Source organism: Homo sapiens, chromosome 6, assembly GCF_000001405.40.
Source record: "Homo sapiens chromosome 6, GRCh38.p14 Primary Assembly".
In the NCBI taxonomy this organism is placed as follows: domain Eukaryota; kingdom Metazoa; phylum Chordata; class Mammalia; order Primates; family Hominidae; genus Homo; species Homo sapiens.
Genome location: NC_000006.12, coordinates 138,972,946 through 138,989,732, shown reverse-complemented (window position 1 = coordinate 138,989,732; position 16,787 = coordinate 138,972,946). Strand labels below are relative to the sequence as shown.

The 16,787-nt window shown below is 41.7% G+C and overlaps 1 protein-coding gene across 13 annotated transcripts in view, besides 3 other annotated features; it reads left to right on the top strand.

Annotated features, from left to right (window-relative positions):
- Nucleotides 1,249-1,488: a silencer, noted in NCBI's record as "silent region_17602". NCBI's record gives its function as "represses an Ori minimal core promoter by ATAC-STARR-seq in GM12878 lymphoblastoid cells {active_cell/tissue: GM12878}" and the evidence as "EXISTENCE:reporter gene assay evidence [ECO:0000049][PMID:35858748]".
- REPS1 (RALBP1 associated Eps domain containing 1) overlaps nt 1,480-16,787 on the top strand; it is an 84,761-nt gene continuing 69,453 nt past the window's right edge. For all 13 annotated transcript variants that reach the window (NM_001286612.2, XM_047419432.1, XM_005267179.5 and 10 more), the window contains exon 1: nt 1,480-2,203. In NM_001286612.2, the coding sequence (NP_001273541.1) occupies nt 2,051-2,203 (153 nt within the window). In that variant the 5' untranslated portion in view covers nt 1,480-2,050. The remainder of the gene's footprint in view (nt 2,204-16,787) is intronic.
- Nucleotides 1,679-1,978: a silencer, noted in NCBI's record as "silent region_17601". NCBI's record gives its function as "represses an Ori minimal core promoter by ATAC-STARR-seq in GM12878 lymphoblastoid cells {active_cell/tissue: GM12878}" and the evidence as "EXISTENCE:reporter gene assay evidence [ECO:0000049][PMID:35858748]".
- Nucleotides 11,503-12,077: an enhancer, noted in NCBI's record as "OCT4-NANOG hESC enhancer chr6:139298793-139299367 (GRCh37/hg19 assembly coordinates)". NCBI's record gives its function as "activates a minimal SCP1, AML or CMV promoter by ChIP-STARR-seq in primed H9 embryonic stem cells {active_cell/tissue: H9 hESC(primed)}" and the evidence as "EXISTENCE:reporter gene assay evidence [ECO:0000049][PMID:30033119]".

Sequence of the window (16,787 nt, the reverse complement as noted above, 5' to 3'; positions counted from 1 at the left end):
TTAGATGGCAGGAACAAAGGCCCTGGGGCCGACAAGAGCTGCAAGGCCTAGGAGAGGTGGCAGAGAAAAAGATGCAAAGACAATTGTGAGCCAATCCCTACCCCATTGTGCTCTTTCTGTTTACACCTTTGGAAGGCAGCTGTCTGGGGGGGGTCTGATCACTTGCTGCAGGTGCCCTGAAAGGACACATGAGGGGCTGCTGTAGCAAACTGAAAGTCTTAGAGATGGGAAATAAGCTTAATGGATAGTATATACTTACCTTTATCAAATACTACTAGTCAAGTCAGAAGACATTGACAGGTCTAAAATCCCTTATCTTTCTTAAAAAATAGAAAGATAATAGAATGCCTGTGACTGTGTACATATTAACATTCTACAAAGACCTGGAGTGAAATGAGTAAATATTGACACTAAGTGGGATCCATAAAGGCTAGAAATAGCTTCATGCAAGCTTAGTTTAGATTTTGCCTCCAAATGAGGCAGGGCAGGTTTTACTTCCAAAGGGTTACAAAAAAAAGTCTTTGGGTTTTCAGTGCGCTTTGAATTTTGCAATTACAGATAAATGACTGGGAACCTGTAATAATTTCCTCATATGTGTCATTTATAGGATCCGCACTCTGGGAAACAACTTGTAGAAGACAAAATAAAAACCAGAACTCTGGGTAATTCTGCCTTAGCTCCCGTCTTTGAAGTATTTTATATTTGCTAAGTATAAATTCTTAAGATATTCTACTTGAAATAGCTGAAGAATCCCCTCTCTGGGACAGGTGCAGATTAAAAGAGCGCCACTCCATGATTTTCATAAAGGAGAAAATACGGAAGGCAGCCCCTGTGGGCAGCCCCGGGCCTACATGAGTTGATAGAGTTGAAGGTATAAATGTAGAGTATTAAGTTCCCAGTGACCGGAATGACCTGGTGAACAAAGAGGACAACTTTGCCAGTTTTCCCCTCTATTCAGCACATTTTGTTTCTCAGGTAAACATGGCTTGAAGCACGAGTGAGATGAAGCCTCAATGTTGGTGTCTACGTGGAGGCTTCCCGGATAGCCAGGATGTTCATAGCCCGGATGTTCATAGCCCTTCAGAACAGATGGAAATACTGCATTTATCTTCATCTGTACCGAAAAGGTACAGATAGAATGATAATAACCTGAACAAGGCTCCCCTTTCAATCCAATTATTCAGACGCTTAGGACCAGAAACTGCGAAACATAAAAACTGCAACCCGGATCTTAGTTATCTCGGTCTTAATGAGCTGCCGGCTGTTTCCCACTGCACCCCCCTTTCCGGGGGTCTTGCTGCTGAGATCTCCGCGCAGAGGGCGGCTCGGTCATCCCGCCGCCGGGCGCCGGCCACCAGGGGGCGCTGCGGCCTCCTCCCTCTCCCGGGAGCGGCCAAGCCAGCCCGGTGGGTGTTTCTCTCTCCCTCTCGCGCTCTCTCCTCCCGGCCTCACATCCGGGTCTGGAGCGCGGCCGCCGCTGTCACTGTTGGTGCGGGCGCGTCGGGGCCGGGCCGGGGCACTGTAAATGGCGGCGGAGGGAGGCGGAGCGGCGGCCACGCTCAGCCCAGATCCCCCGAAACTTTAGGTTCGAAGCCCCACAACTTTCCGGGAAGCGCTGCCGCTCCGGAGGCGTGGACGGAAGGGGAAGCCGAGGCGGGAAGTCTGGGGGAATCGGCAGGGAGCCGGGGAGACTCGAACCCGCGGCGGGGGCGGAGTCCGCCAGTGCCTCGCGCCTCCGCGGCCCCCGCCTCTTTCTCTGCACCCTCCCCGCGGCCGGAGCCGGAGCCGGAGCCGGAGCCGTAGTCGCAGCCGCAGCCGCAGCCGCGCGCCGGGCCTCGCAGGCAGCGGCGCGGCGAGCGCAGCCGGGCCCCCTCCTCGCGACCTCCGGGCCCTGTTGCTCGGGCGCACCTGGCGCGTGTGAGGCCGGGGCCGGCGTTTTCGGGAAGCTAGCAGGAGGCCGGGCCACGCGCAGCCCCTGCCGGCCCAGGTTCCTGGGGCCGGGCCCCGAGTAGTGCATGCGGGGCGGGGCGGCCGTGAGCCGGAGGCGAAGATGGAAGGCTTAACGCTGAGCGATGCGGAGCAGAAATACTATTCAGATCTCTTCTCCTACTGCGACATTGAGAGCACCAAGAAGGTGGTGGTCAACGGGCGGGTGCTGGAGCTGTTCCGGGCCGCGCAGCTGCCGAACGACGTGGTCCTACAGGTAACGTCGCGTCCCGGGGCCGGCGGGCGGCTTAGGCCTGCAGTCACTGGCCTCCAGGAGTGGGAGTGGGCGCCGATTCCTTGGGGCCCGGCGGGGGGCTGGTTCCTCGGGGGGTCCCCGCAGCGGGCAGGGGCCGCAGGTGCCCGGGAGGCCTGGACTCGCGCCGCGGCCAAGGGGGAGGGGGTTGCCCTTAGAGGACGGAACTCCTGTGGTGGGGGTCTGAAGAGCCTCAGCCGGTATCCCCCACGACCCTGAGAATCTGTGCTCTGTACTGCAAGAGCTATCTCACTTGAAGGATCTTAGGTTGTTAATGTGTGTGAATCCTAGAACCTGGCATATAGAGAGCTTTTCGGATCCTGCAGAGTAGTAAAGTTATCAGTATGGGCAAAATGGTTTTTTTAATTCTTGGATTAACCGAGAAGACGTGATAAAGTGAGTTCTATAGATTTAGGAATCGAAGAAGCAGTTTTTTTAAAGGAAGCAAAATTCTTAGGGAAATTTTTTAAAATGTGAACTACTTAGTAGTTTTACAAGTAGGCATACAAGAAGTTGTAATTATCTGTAGAACGTGTGTATGTGATGAGACTGAACAATGTTTTTCAACAGGCATTCGAAAGCATTTGTGGAACTTGTGGATTTGGGTTGGGAGATGAGTATTGAACAGCTGGTAGGCAGAAGTGCGTTATTTGCCCTAATCTGAAGCCCTGGAGGAGCAAACCCTGTAGGTTTAAAGCCTTTTTTTATCATATCTGCTTTTGAAACAGAGGACTTCCTAGAAGTTCTTATCTAATGTATGTGGTGAGCATTAATGCTACTCTGTTTAATGATTCATAGCTGCTAGTAGGAGTCTGTCTAAACAGTATGTTAGGAACAGGTTTTAAGCTTTCATCTTTTATATTGATCCAAGCTAGTTATCCACATCTCCAAAATTTAAAGCCACATGTATAGGTGTATGTAGTGGACTGCAAAGCATTGGACCAGGGTTTTGAAGGCTGGGTCCTTGACCCTACTCTGCTGTTAACCAGCAGTGTGACTTTGGGTCAGGCACTTTCCATTTTCAAGCATAAGTATGTTCATCCACAGAATGAAGGCAAGTTTCTTCCAACAAAAATTCTGTGAAGAATAAAAATGTCCACACACAGGTCTCTGTTTTAGAAGTTAAGTCTGCATTAACTATGACTAAGTTGAACGAGTTCGATCTTTTTAAATGGTCTTGTGTTTTACATTGCTTTTTTAAAGGTGGGATGTCTTACGTGCCAGTGAAGGGCAACGAGGAGTCCCAAATTCATCCTGTTGAAAAGGGACAAATAGTAAATATTTTGGGCTTTGCTGGCCACATATGCTCTCTGTTGCATATTCTTCTTCTTGTGTTTACAAAACACAAAAATGTAAAGCCATTCTTAGCTCAGGGAGATACAAAACAAAGCCTGTGGTCTGCTAACGAAGGGTGCTGGTAGTGTGGTCTATGGTACTCTCCTGTTACAGCTTTGGAGTAGGACTTAGAGATCTGGTCAGAACATGCTCATTAATCATACTCTTTTTGCTCCTTTTGAAGAAATAACAAAGTATACCTTCAAGTTAGGATCTAAATAAAATTAAGGAAAAGCCTTCTCTGTTCTATTTTAGTTTGTCTTTGAGGTGAGAAAGAGTTGAAATAAAACTTTCAATCTTTTTAATGGGTACACAAAGACTTTAGAACTTGAAATGTAATTTTTAGGACAGACACATTAGCATTAATGAATCTTTACTTCAAACATGTTTAATTCAGTGCAAGTTATTTTTATGTTTTGCTCAATTTTATTAACATTCAAAAAATAAATTTCCATTGTCTTTTGGCATAAAGAGAGAGCTTAAATATTCAGGGTTCAGTTACAAGTTGGAACTCCCTGGAGCAGAACTCTTACAGTTATGTATACTAAATAGCAGTCTAGATATCTTGAAGGCAATTTACTTAAAAATTGGTCTAAGACATAGAAATATGAGACAAAAGGAGAATATGTGCTTAATTCCCTTAAGGGAGTTTGGGATTGTCTGAAAACACAGTCCTCCATTGCTTTCTAAGTGGGAAACATTTGGGGCAGCTCATATCTAATGCTTAGTTCTCTACTTAACACTGGGCTAGGCATTGCAGGCATCAGAAGAGGAGTAAGAAGCTCTTGAGGATCTTGTCAATTATAGGAGTGCTCATGTATAACATAAGGTATAATGTATGCCATAGGAGAGGTGCCAAGTGTTATGAAATGCTAAGGAGGTATGACCAAGAAAGGCTTTTTGACTTAATTCAGATGGACTTTAAATTAGGGTGGAGTGAGGGGAATGGAATTATGAGGGCTTCCAGGCAGAGAAAAGTGATCAGAAGTGGAAAGTGTAGGAGCCTTTTCAAGGACTAGTGTTTTCGGGATAACAGAATATAAAATTAGAAAGAGGCCATATTGGGAAAGACTCTGAAGAAGGGCAGCAGATAACGATATTTCAGCAAGCAATGGAGACCCATTGAAAAGTTTTTGACTTTGAGTGGCAGAAAGGGTAAGGAATGACACTCTTTCAGTGGTCTGGATTGGGTGCTAGGTCATGGACATCCAACCAGGGTGACAGCAGTAGAATAGAAAGGGAGAGACTGGATATGTTATTGAAGGACTGCTGGGTAGCCACTATATGAGGTGCTTTGTGGAATAATGTTTAATTGAGGCCAGATTATCAAGGTTGGATGGAGAGCTTTGAACTAATTGTGTAGGTAACAGGGAGTGGTAGATTTAAGAGAAATGACTCATAAAGCAGTGCTTTAGGAGTCGTTTGTCAGGGCCACAGGAATTAGAGGAATAAAACTGTAGACTTAACTTGGGGGCTGATTTTGTATGGCAGATACGAAGTGAGAAACTGGGCCAGTGGTACTCAAACATGGGAATGAAGGTGACAATGGGGAAGAGGCATTTGGCAGTGTCTAGAGACATTTTGATTGTCATAACTAGAGGGGAGAGAGCAGTTCTACTGGCATCTAGTGGGTAGAGGCCAGAAATGTTGCTAAACATCCTGCAGTGCACAGGACAGCCTCCACAAGCATTATGTGCCCAAGATGTCAATAGTGCTGAGACTGAGAAACCCTAACCTGGACTATAGTGGTGGGAGTGGGACAAAAAATCAGATATGGGCCGGGCACAGTGGCTCATGCCTGTAATCCCAGCACTTTGGGAGGCTGAGGCAGGTGGATCACCTGAGGTCAGGAGTTGGAGACCAACCTGGCCAACATGGTGAAACCCTTTCTGTACTAAAAATACAAAATTAGCCGCATGTGGTGGCGCATGCCTGTAATCCCAGCTACTCCAGAGGCTGAGGCAGGAGAATCACTTAGAACCTGGGAGGAGGAGGAGGTTGCAGTGAGCCAAGATCGCGCCACTGCACTCCAGCCTAGATGACAGAGCAAGACGCTGTCTCAAAAAAAAAAAAAAAAAAAGAGAGAGAGAGAGATGGTAGAGATTATGAAGGTAAACGTGATAGGCCTGGGTTATTTGGCAGTGTTTTGGTGAGAATACAGTGGGGCAAGGATTATTCTTTGGACACCACTCACAGTTAGAAAAGGGGCAGGAAGAGGGCTTACTTTTTAAAAGAGACAATGATGAGTTTGGTTTCAGACATTCTTAGATGGCAATTCAGATCTCTTGGAGACAGTGGGAAGTGGGTGGAGATTTGTCCACCCCAACTGCTGGTTCTTACAGCAGTTCAGGTTCAGAGGTTCGGGATTTCTTCCTCTGTTTTGCTCACCTAAGTGTTTAGGGACGGGAGACAGTGTCACATAGACTGGGCATGCACATACATATCAGGACCTTGGTTGGTACAGTAGTTTTCGGTGTTTGTTAGTAAAAGTTAGGAGGAGACTGAGTCATCTGGGGGCATGAGTGTAGAGAACAAATAACACCGAGTCCAGAACCAAACGAGGAAGGAGCTGGCATTTATCGAGTGCCTATTATGTTCCTTTAACCAGGCAAATCATTTTCATGGAAGAACTCATTTGATTCTTGCAACAACCTTGTGAAGTGGGTGTTATTCTTGTTTATTTTTATTTTTATTTTTATTTTTTGAGACAGTCTCTCGCTCTGTTGCCCAGGCTGGAGTGCAGTGGTGCAATCTCGGCTCACTGCAACCTCCACCTCCCAGGCTCAAGCGATTCTTCTGCCTCAGCCTCCTGGGTAGCTGGGACTACAGGCATGCGCCACCACCACACTCGGCTAATTTTTGTATTTTTAGTAGAGTCGGGGTTTCACCATATTGGCCAGGCTGGTCTTGAACTCCTGACCTTGTGATCTGCCCACTTCAGCCTCCCAGAGTGCTGGGATTACAGGCTTATTCTTGTTCACTAAGAACTTGATAGCAGATAAGTTAAATAATTTATTTGTGAATATTCGTATCTCTCCCTTACTATTATTCACGTCCCAGCTCTTACCTTCTCTGGTCATGTGGTTTGGGAGCAGGGTGAGGAATAAAATTCAGTTGGTCTGATTTTGACTTCCCCATAGTTCTTATGAACAGTAGGGATTTTAGAATATCTGATTTTGTGTTACGTATCAACTTACTCCTTTGCGTAGTAAGTAGTTTAATGTATGATGATGTCTTGAAACACAGCCACTTCAGAGAAAGAGGGAGATTCTTGTAGTTGGTGTTCAGGGCACACACAAATACAATTTTTCTTTATTACCACTGTCAGATGTTTTAAGGTGTGTTCATTACAGTTGCTTTTGAATAGCAGAGGAAAATCTATTCTGAGTTTAAGAGTTTGTTTTTGAAGACAGAATGTCAATAGACAAAGTGAAGGAGTGCATGCTTTGTAAAATTATGCTCCATGCCACATAATAGCAAGATGAGGGGGAGAAAAATCTGGCTCATAGGATTTAATCATGAGGAATTTTGCTGTCTGCCGAGCAAGAAAATATTCAGTGTTGTGGCTTAAAAGTCAGCTTTTCCCAAAGTAGTTTATTTTGTTTTTTAAAGATTAGGAAAGATATACTATTTACCACACTAATCAGAATGTTTTCTTAGCTTTTACCAAAAGCTTCTGTTTTGGGAAATGTCTTAAAACTTCATACAGACTTTGAATGCATAATAGATTGATAAAGGGTTCTAGTACTAACTGTTCTTTCATTGAGGTTTGTAAGCAATGTACCCTGTTAATGAAGCTGAAAATCTTTAGATCATTTGTGTAGAGCAATATCTTGTTAGAATATTTGCATAACACATAAATTTAATGGGGAAAAGCAATAACAGTGAAACAAACCATTTTGTTTTTGTCTTGAAACTTGTTTAAATCAATTACAAGATCTGGCATTAGTGATAAGTTTAAAAATAGGAAAGCAGAGCTCATTTCTGTGTTGAAAGTTATAAACTTAATAAGTCTCAGGTTTGTTATTCTGGAGTAGTGGTTTTTAGTTCTGAATCACTAAAATAATTGTAATAAACTACAGAAATAATCTTGCCATAATCACTTACCTATACACAGTTGAAAAAGATACTGTTTGTGAAAGAAGTCACAGTCAATGTGTTTCTGTAGTGTCCTATTTATTTACTTTTAAAATTTCTGTCTTCTTGAGTTTCTTGTGCTAGTTTCAGTCATTTTGTTTGTTTGTTTGTTTGTTTTAATCAATAGCCCAGAGTTAGAGTTTTAGTATATTGGGAATTCGTGCCAAACATTTGATGGAGCGACACAAGAGCATGAGAAGCTGGTATAAAGAGCACTAACTGTGGGAGGCAAGTTCCAGTTCTGGCATCAGCTAACTTTGTAACCCTGAACAAATCACAGAATGTCTGATATAGCTATGGGATTGGGTTTTCATGATTTCTGACTCAAATGAGAGTATCTTTGTGTAGGAGCGGCTAATCTATTCCAGCCACACCCCTTTAAAAGTAGCACAAAGTCTTGTGGTTAGTTGCTCCACTATCTTGACACTGGAACAGGATTATTTGACATTCTTTGAGGAATACAAAGAGGAGATATATACAAGAGGAAACTGATGAAAGGGTCATAAATCCATGGGTGCTTAGTTCTTCAAGGTCGTGAGAATTTGAAATGGGTGATAAGACTTGTCATTTCTGATGTTTTCCCTTATATAGGTTTTATTTTCTGTAGCCTTTCCTATTATAGATGCATCTTCACTCATCTTTTCCCTCTGTGTAAGAAATTTGTCTAATGGAAGTTAAACTGTATACCAGATTTCATTGAGATTTGATAAATTCTAAGACTTAGGCTTTTTAAAATTAAGAATACTACATCTCTTCTGCATTTTGTTTCAAGAATTAGCCAGGTGTTGAATTTGGGGTCTGTCTCATTAAATAATGAAGACAGAATTTATTAGTCTGTCTCTTTTGGGCTGTTGATTCCGTTGAGATTCTGCTGCACGCACTGGACATCTGCTTAGAAAACATAGTTCCACAGAATTTTGCACTTAATTTGTGATTTCCAGCCTTCCCCTAATTGAGTCAAGCTCATCTTATGGACTTCTACATTAATTCAGTTTTAAGGAAGAGCAGGCTGACCTGTGAAATGCTAAACACTTCTGTCTTAAATCAGTTTTAAATACTTTCAACAAAGACTTCTTTGTGGCTGTTCTTTGTATTGGGGGTATACATGCAGTGGTGAAGGATCAAGACATCTTCTCTGACTTGTGCCAATGTCGAAAAGAAAAAGAACTGGCCAGGCGTGGTGGCCTGCACCTGTAGTCCCAGCTACTTGAGAGGCAGAGGCAGGAGGATCACTTGAGCCTGGGAAGTTGAGGCTGCAATGAGACATAGTAAACATAGTAGTGTCATTGCACTCCAGCCTGGGTGACAGAGCAAGTCTCCGTTCCCCCCCCCCCCCGCCCCACCCACAAAAAAAAAAGGAAAAAAGAACTGTGTACAATAATAGAGAATCATTGGGTGGTAGAATCAGAGGAGGTAGTGGGGACCTACTTAGGTGTAAGGGAAGGCCCCTTAGAGGATGCCTGGATGGGGGGTCAGGGGAGGGAGAATAAGGTGTTTCATATAGAGAGAACTGGGAAGGGCCTGAGGCTGTGAAGAGCACAGTGTGTTTAAGGAACTGAAACTGTGGACAAGAGGGGAGAATGGCAGGGACTGCATAAGGCAGGCCCTTGTACTCAGTGATAAGGAATTTGGATTTTAGTGGAAATATACTAAAAGTTTTTATTCGGGGGTGTAGCATCATCTGAATTATATTTTAAAAGATCATGCTGACTGCTGTATGAGCAAAAAGAATACTGGGGGCAAGTGGAAGCAGATACGCTAGTGGATATGCAACAGTCCAGGCAGCAGACAGCAATGGCTTAGATTAGCGAGGTGGCAGTAGGATAGAGAGCAGTGGACATCTGTGAGAATTTTTTAGGTGGTAGAAATACGAAGGCATAAATAGGGTTGGATATGGAACATAAGGGAGGGGAAAGAACTCAAGGATGTTGCTGGAAGTTGCCACTATTGGATGGTTGGAAGAGGAGTGGATTTTGGGGGGGATTGTTTCGTGGGAGAGGTAAGGGTGAATTCAGCAGTTCCCCTTTTGTCTATCTTAGTTCTCAGAAGCCTGTAAGATTGTCAAGTAGGCCTGTTAGAGAGATCTATACATCTTGAGGAATTCAGAGATACTTGGCTTAGAGATGTCAGTTTGAAGATTGTCACTATGTTAGTGATACTTAAGGTAATGAAATAATTGAAGAAAAGATTATAAAGAAGAGAGAAAGATTGACTAGAACTGGAATCCTGAGGAATGCTGAACATTTCTAAGTTGGGTAAACTGGAAGGCTTCTTGGAAGGACGCTAGGAAGCACACAATCAGAGTGGTACAAATTGGGAATGTGTAATATATAGTATTATCATGTCGTGGATGCCAAATAATGCAAGTATTTCAAGGGGGTGGGTAGTCAGCTGTATTGAATTTCACTGAGAGGCTGAGAACATGTGGGCAGGAATGTGGCCATTGGATTTGGCAACCTGGAAGTTATTAGTAACTTCAGTGAGCCAGTTTCATGGACTAGTGTAGATGGATGCCAGATTTGAGTGATTTGAGGGATAAATGATGGCTGAGGAACTAGAGACAGGGTGTATAGATAGCTTTTAAAGAAGTTTACCTATGAAAGGGAATAGATACAGGGTAGAAGCTAGAGATGTATGAGGATATAAAGGAAATCTTTTTGTTTGTTTCTTTTTGAGTGTGAGAAATTCTGCAGAATGATTTTAGTTGTTAGGATTGCTAAGATAAGGGAGATGAGAAGTCCTTGAGAAAGCAGGAGTGGTCAGGATCCTGACTGCACAGAGTCCTTTGATAGGAAGGGGATACTTCTTCAGTTTTTTTTTTTTGTTTTTTTTTTTTTTTTTGTGATGGATTCTCGCTCTGTCGCCCAGGCTGGAGTGCAATGGCCTGGTCTTGGCTCACTGCAACCTCCGCCTCCCGGGTTGAAGCGATTCTCCTGCCTCAGCCATCAGAGTTGCTGGGATTACAGGTGCCTACCACCACGCCTGGCTGATTTTTGTCTTCTTAGTAGAGACAGGGTTTCACCATGTTGGCCAGGCTGGTCTCGAACTGCTGATCTCGTGATCTGCCTGCCTTGGCCTCCCAAAGTGCTGGGATTACAGGCATGAGCCACCGTGCCCGGCCACTTCCTCAGTTTTAACAGTGGGGAAGAAAGAACAACATGGTTACAGACGCAAGTAGGAATATAGATTTAGTGGGTGGAATATAGATTTAGTGGGAGGATGTTCTGGCCTAATGGCTTTTATTTGTTTTCTACAAACTGAGGCAGGATTAACAGTGTAGTAGTAACATAAAATCTTAATATGAAAGTAAGAAAAAAATACATTCACATTAGCTTCAAAGAGGCCTAACATACTTGGGAATAAACTTAAGAAAAGAGTCACCAAGATTTTTGTATTTAAAACTACAAAACAGGGCTGGGCACAGTGACTTATGCCTGTAATCCTAGCACTTTGTGAGGTTGAGGCGGGCAGATCACTTGAGCCCGGGAGTTTGAGACCAGTCTGGGCAACATAGGGAGACCCCTGCCTGTAAAAAAAAAAGATAAAATAAATTAGCTGGGTATAGTGGTGTGCACCTGTGGTCCCAGCTACTTGGGAGGCTGAGGCAGGAGGATGGTTTAAGCCTGGGAGGCAGAGGTCAGGGAGGCAGAGGTCAGAGAGACCCGAGATTGCGCCAATGGACTCCAGCCTGGGCAACAGAGCCAGACCCTGTCTCAAAAAAAAAAAAAGAAAAGGAAAAGAAACAAATAATTGGGCTTTATTAAATATTTTTAAAACTTTTACAATTGAGAAGATACTTAAGAAAGTATAAAAAGATAAGCCACAGATTGGGGAGAAATATTTGCATATTATAAACATGGTAAAGGTCTTTAATCTAGAATATATTTGAAAAATCTTACAACTCACTTATAAGGAAAAAAAAAAAACTGGGCGAAAGCCCATTCTTAGGCTTAAGCCCATTGAATAGGTATTTCACCAAAGACAACAATAAGAATGGCCAATAAGCATATGAAAAGATGTTAACCCCATTAGTCATTAGGGAAATGCAAATTAAATCACAGTGATATACTATCACACACTGACCAGAGTGGCTGTAATTAAAAAGACTGACAATACCTAGTATTTGTATTGTTGAGAAACTGGAACCCTTAGGCACTTCTTGGGACTGTAAATGACACAGCCACATTGGGAAACAGTTTGGCTTTTTCTTAAAAAGTTAAGCATAAATTTGCCATAGCAACCAGCAGTTCCACTCTTAGGAATCTGCCCAAGAGAAATGAAAATACCTGTACAAATAAAGAAAGGTATGTACATGTCTGTTAGCATTATTCACAATAGTCAAAAACTGGAAAGCAATTCAAATATCCATCACATGGTGTTTGAATACATAAAATGTGGAAAACTATTCTGCAATAAAAAAGAAACAAATTAGTGATATATGTTATAACAAACATGAATGTCAAAAACATGTCTCTGGGCAATATAGCAAGACCCTGTCCCAAAAAATTAATAAATAATATTAGCTAAATGTGATGGCACCCGCATATCATTGAAGCTATTCTTGGAAGGCTGAGGAAAGAGGATAGCTTAAGCCCAGGTGTTTGAGGCTGCAGTGAGCTGTGTTCACGCCAGTACACTCCAGCCTGGGTGACAGAGCAAGACCTCATCTGTAATAACAACATGCTAACTGTCAAACCAAATACAAAAGAGTACATATTGTGTGGTTACATTTATATGGACTGTCTACAAAAAGCAAATCTATAGAGATATAGCAGATTAGTGGTTGCATCAGGCCAGAGCAAGAGAAATGGTATGGAGGAAAATACTTGGGTGATAGAAAAATTCTAAAATTAGATTGTAGTGATAGTGCTCTATACACTGTATAATTTTCTTAAAACTCAATGAATTGTACACATATGATGGTTGAATTTTATGGTGTATAAATTATACCTCAAAGCTATGAATTAAAAATTACAAAATAGTCATCTTGGGGAATGTAAAGGTTGAATGTGGTGGAGAATGAAGGACTGTGTACTGCTTACATAGTTTAATTACAAAACTTCAGCATAATGTAATCTGGCATTTTGATAAAGGATTTAAATTTTGAAAGATGATGTACTGATAGATTTTTATGTGTAGAGGAGATTGCCATATCTCATCTTCCAAGATTCATTAGAACTGAGTATATTTACATTACATTACATTAGCATCAAGCTAACATTTATTCACTGTTCTGTGTGACAGGGACCGCTCTGCGTGCTTTATATGTGTTATTTTACAAGTACATTATTTATTGACCTTAGAAGGGGCTAAAAATAATATGATTTAGAATGAAGACCAGTTTCCATCTATTGACCTTTGGTGGTATGATGAATTTTTGTACACTTAACTCAGATATCTTAATATTATGGGAAATTATAGAAATATAATACCTCAAAGAATAATGCAAGTTTGAAGTAGTCATGACTGACAAGTAATAATTTTAATGAAATAGTAGTTTCAGTCTACAGGACTATTTTGGGTTGCTTTGTCCACTGGAATAATCACCGTCACTATCATGAATCTTTTTGTGGGCCATTCTAATGTTACTTAAAGGGACTGATTTGGTGTCTTTGTATTTTGAAATAGCTGTATTCAATCTGAGTTTGCATAAGGAGCTAGATCTTGGTCCCAATCCTCACAATTATAATAGCATGTTCCTGTGGAGAAAAAAAAATTGCATGAAGTGATTATTGCTTCTTTTTGTCCATGGGTTATGCAAAATGTTGTACGTGGAAATAGAAATATCTATATCCTTGAAACAAGAAATCATTGTCTGGAAACTAAGAGTATACTAGTTTTTTTTTGGTGTCTCATTTGTGACTGGAAGGATCATAGGTTTGACTTCAAAGTGTTTATTGATACTGTATATTAATAGCTGATTTAGAAGAATGCATATTTTTTCTGAAGCACTTCATTATATTCCATAGAAAAGTAATTACAACATCGTAGTAATTTTCTGTGTCAGCAAGTATTGAGTGTAGTCAAAATAGCATAGACTTTGGAATACGACAGTTCTAGATTTTGAATCTCCAGTTAGTGCTTATTAACTTCTCATCTTTTGTAAGTACTTAACCTCTCTTGAGATTTCATTTCCTCGTCTGTAAACTGAAGCTAATACCATTTCTGAAGGTTTTTTTATTTTTTTTGAGACGGAGTCTGGCTCTGTCTCCCAGGCTGGAGCGCAATGGCACAATCTCGACTCACTGCACCCTCTGCCTCCCAGGTTCAAGTGATTCTCCTGCCTCAGCCTCTCGAGTAGCTGGGATTACAGGCGCCTGCCACTGCGCCCAGCTAATTTTTGTATTTTTTAGTAGAGATGGGGTTTCATCATGTTGGCCAGGCTGGTCTCGAACTCCTAACCTCAGGTGATCCTCCGCCTTGGCCATTTCTGAAGTTTTAATGCTACCAAACTGATAGTGCCTGGTTCTTAGAAGGTTATCAAGTAAGTTTCACTCACTCAAGCTCTGCTCTATAGAAGAAAACACAGAATTTGTGGAATCTTGGCTTTAATACTACAGAAAATTGTCTGTTGTTCTTCAAACCTAGCTTTATACCTTTCGTTGATTTTGTTGTGTGAACTTAATAATGCTTTCCCAACCCTTCTATTCTGTCAGTAAGCCTTTTGTTTTGCCCTTTCACTGGATAATTAATTTGAGGGTTTGCTCTCTTGAAGTGAAGTTTAGCACTAGAGGACTCAAAGAATGATTCTGAGGTTTTGAGCCTATAGAATGGTGATGCCATTAACGTGGAAATAAAGAAGCAGAGGGCAAAGTAGGGGGTTTGGGGAGAAGATAATGTGGTGGATTTTGTATGTGCTGAGTGTGATGCCATGTTCATTCCTTCTGGGCAGCAGAGTTAGGAGGGCATTTGAAAGCTTGAGAGTAGTAGCTAGGTGGCTTTAGAAGCGTGTGCAGACTTGGTGGTGGTTCCTGAATGAGGCCATTCACTAAAAATGAGGAATGCAAGCCTAACTTTTTTTTTTTTTGAGACAGGGTCTCACTCTGTCACCCAGGCTGGAGTGTGGTGGCATGGCATTATCACGGCTCACTGCAGCCTCAACCTCCCAGGCTCAAGAGATCCTCCCATCTCAGCTTCCCAGGTAGCTAGGACTACAGGCACATGCCACCATGCCCAGCTAATTTTTGTATTTTTTAGCTGTTGTTAAACTCCTGGACTCAAGCAAGGATTACAGGCGTGAACCACCATGTCCGGCCTTAAAGTCTGTATATTTGAAATATCCTTTCAGAGTTAATTAACTCTGATATTGTCCCAGAGATTTCGGTTTCTGTTTTCACTTAAGACCTCAGGAGTTTTCTGAAACTTTCTTGAAACTGTTAGGAAGGCCATATGGGTGTGGAAGTATAATGTCTCTTCATCTGAAATTAGGTCAGCCTCCAAAGACTTGAATCTTAGATATTAAACCCAAAGGCACCTTACATTTTAAACCCAAAACACATTTGGACATTTAATATAAGAGGTTTTAGCTATTTGTATAAACAACCCCTAAACACCTGGACACATAGTCATTGTATTTAGCTGAGGAGTGAGGCTTGGAGCTGAAGAATCTAGCCTACCTCTTCACATCAGCATCTCATTGCAGCTTTGTGATTCTCATGTAACACAGGATCTCATTTAATCCTTGTAATAAGCGTGCCATTTCATTATTTTTTATTAATAGGAAAGTGCATGCTCTTACGATATTCAAGAATTGATAGATTCTTGAAGGTTTGTAGACAGATTTCTTGAGGTTTAGTTATCCTGTGGCATTGCTGTACCATTCGTTCAGGGGATGGATCTGTTGAATTCCTATTCTCCATATATTCAGAATTTTTTTTCAATTTAATACCCTATAATTACACCTTTCATTAATTCAGCAAACACCATTCAACAGCTGCTGTGCTCCAGGGTATGTACCTAGGGCACTGGGTTTGCAGAGGTGAGTGAAGGAGACATGGTTCCTGTCCTGGAAAACTGAATCTTCTAAGCTCCAAGGGGTCACTGTGCCTGTCTGCTTCCTGACTGTATTCCTGGCACATTGTCAGTAGTGAATATTTGTTGAATGAGTGAACATGATTTATCTTTTTTCCCCAAAAATATGTTTGCTTATCTCTAACCTTAATATACATTGCCAGCCAATTCAAATGATAGTAATAATTAATGCTGATGTAGTGCCTACTACATCAGCATTGTTTGTGGCCCTTTATATATGATAATTCATTTTACTTTCAATGATCTGAAGTGGATACAGTTTATTATCTCTATTTTTAAAATGACACAGAGGATAAGTAACTTCTCTACGATTACACAGCTAGTAAGTCATTGAGCTGGGATTTAAGTAGTTCTGCTTTAAACTACTACACTCTGTATGTTTCATGGGGGCTTAAGAGTGAAAGTCAGATTACTTTCTGACACGCTTGTGTATTACTCCTTCAAAAATGTTTTCTTATTCAGACTTTGACTGATTCCCAGTAGAATTTTTTACAGTCTTTATATATTGGCTGAGGTTTTATTAAACTTACTGTATTTTTTCTTGGGATCCAGAGCAAATTCTTCCTATGATGAATTCTTTTCTACATTGAGATATTTACAGACTAACTCATTATTTGGTTTCCTTCATAATTTTTATCACAGGCTTACTTACCTAAATCTGAATCATCAAGTTATATCTCTAGAATGTTGTATCATCTTTCATGAATTAGAAAGGTCTTTGAAATAATTTTTGAACTTTCACTTAAAATACCATGTGTTTTTTGTTTTTTAGTTTGACATCCTACTTGAACTTTTTCCTAATCATCCCAACCAGATAACCCCTCCTTCTGTAGTCTCCCAACTCTATTCTGTATGTTTGCACTTGTATACAATTTGTACTTTAGGTTATTCTTCCTGTGTATCTGTTTCCCTTGATAGGTGGCAAAAAATTTGAGGGTAAGTTTTAGCCTTGTTTGTTTCCTTTATTATCACTTTGTTCCTGTTAGGCACTCACTCAAAACCTATTAGACTGCTTAGTTGGTGCTTTAGAACTTCATTCCTCATC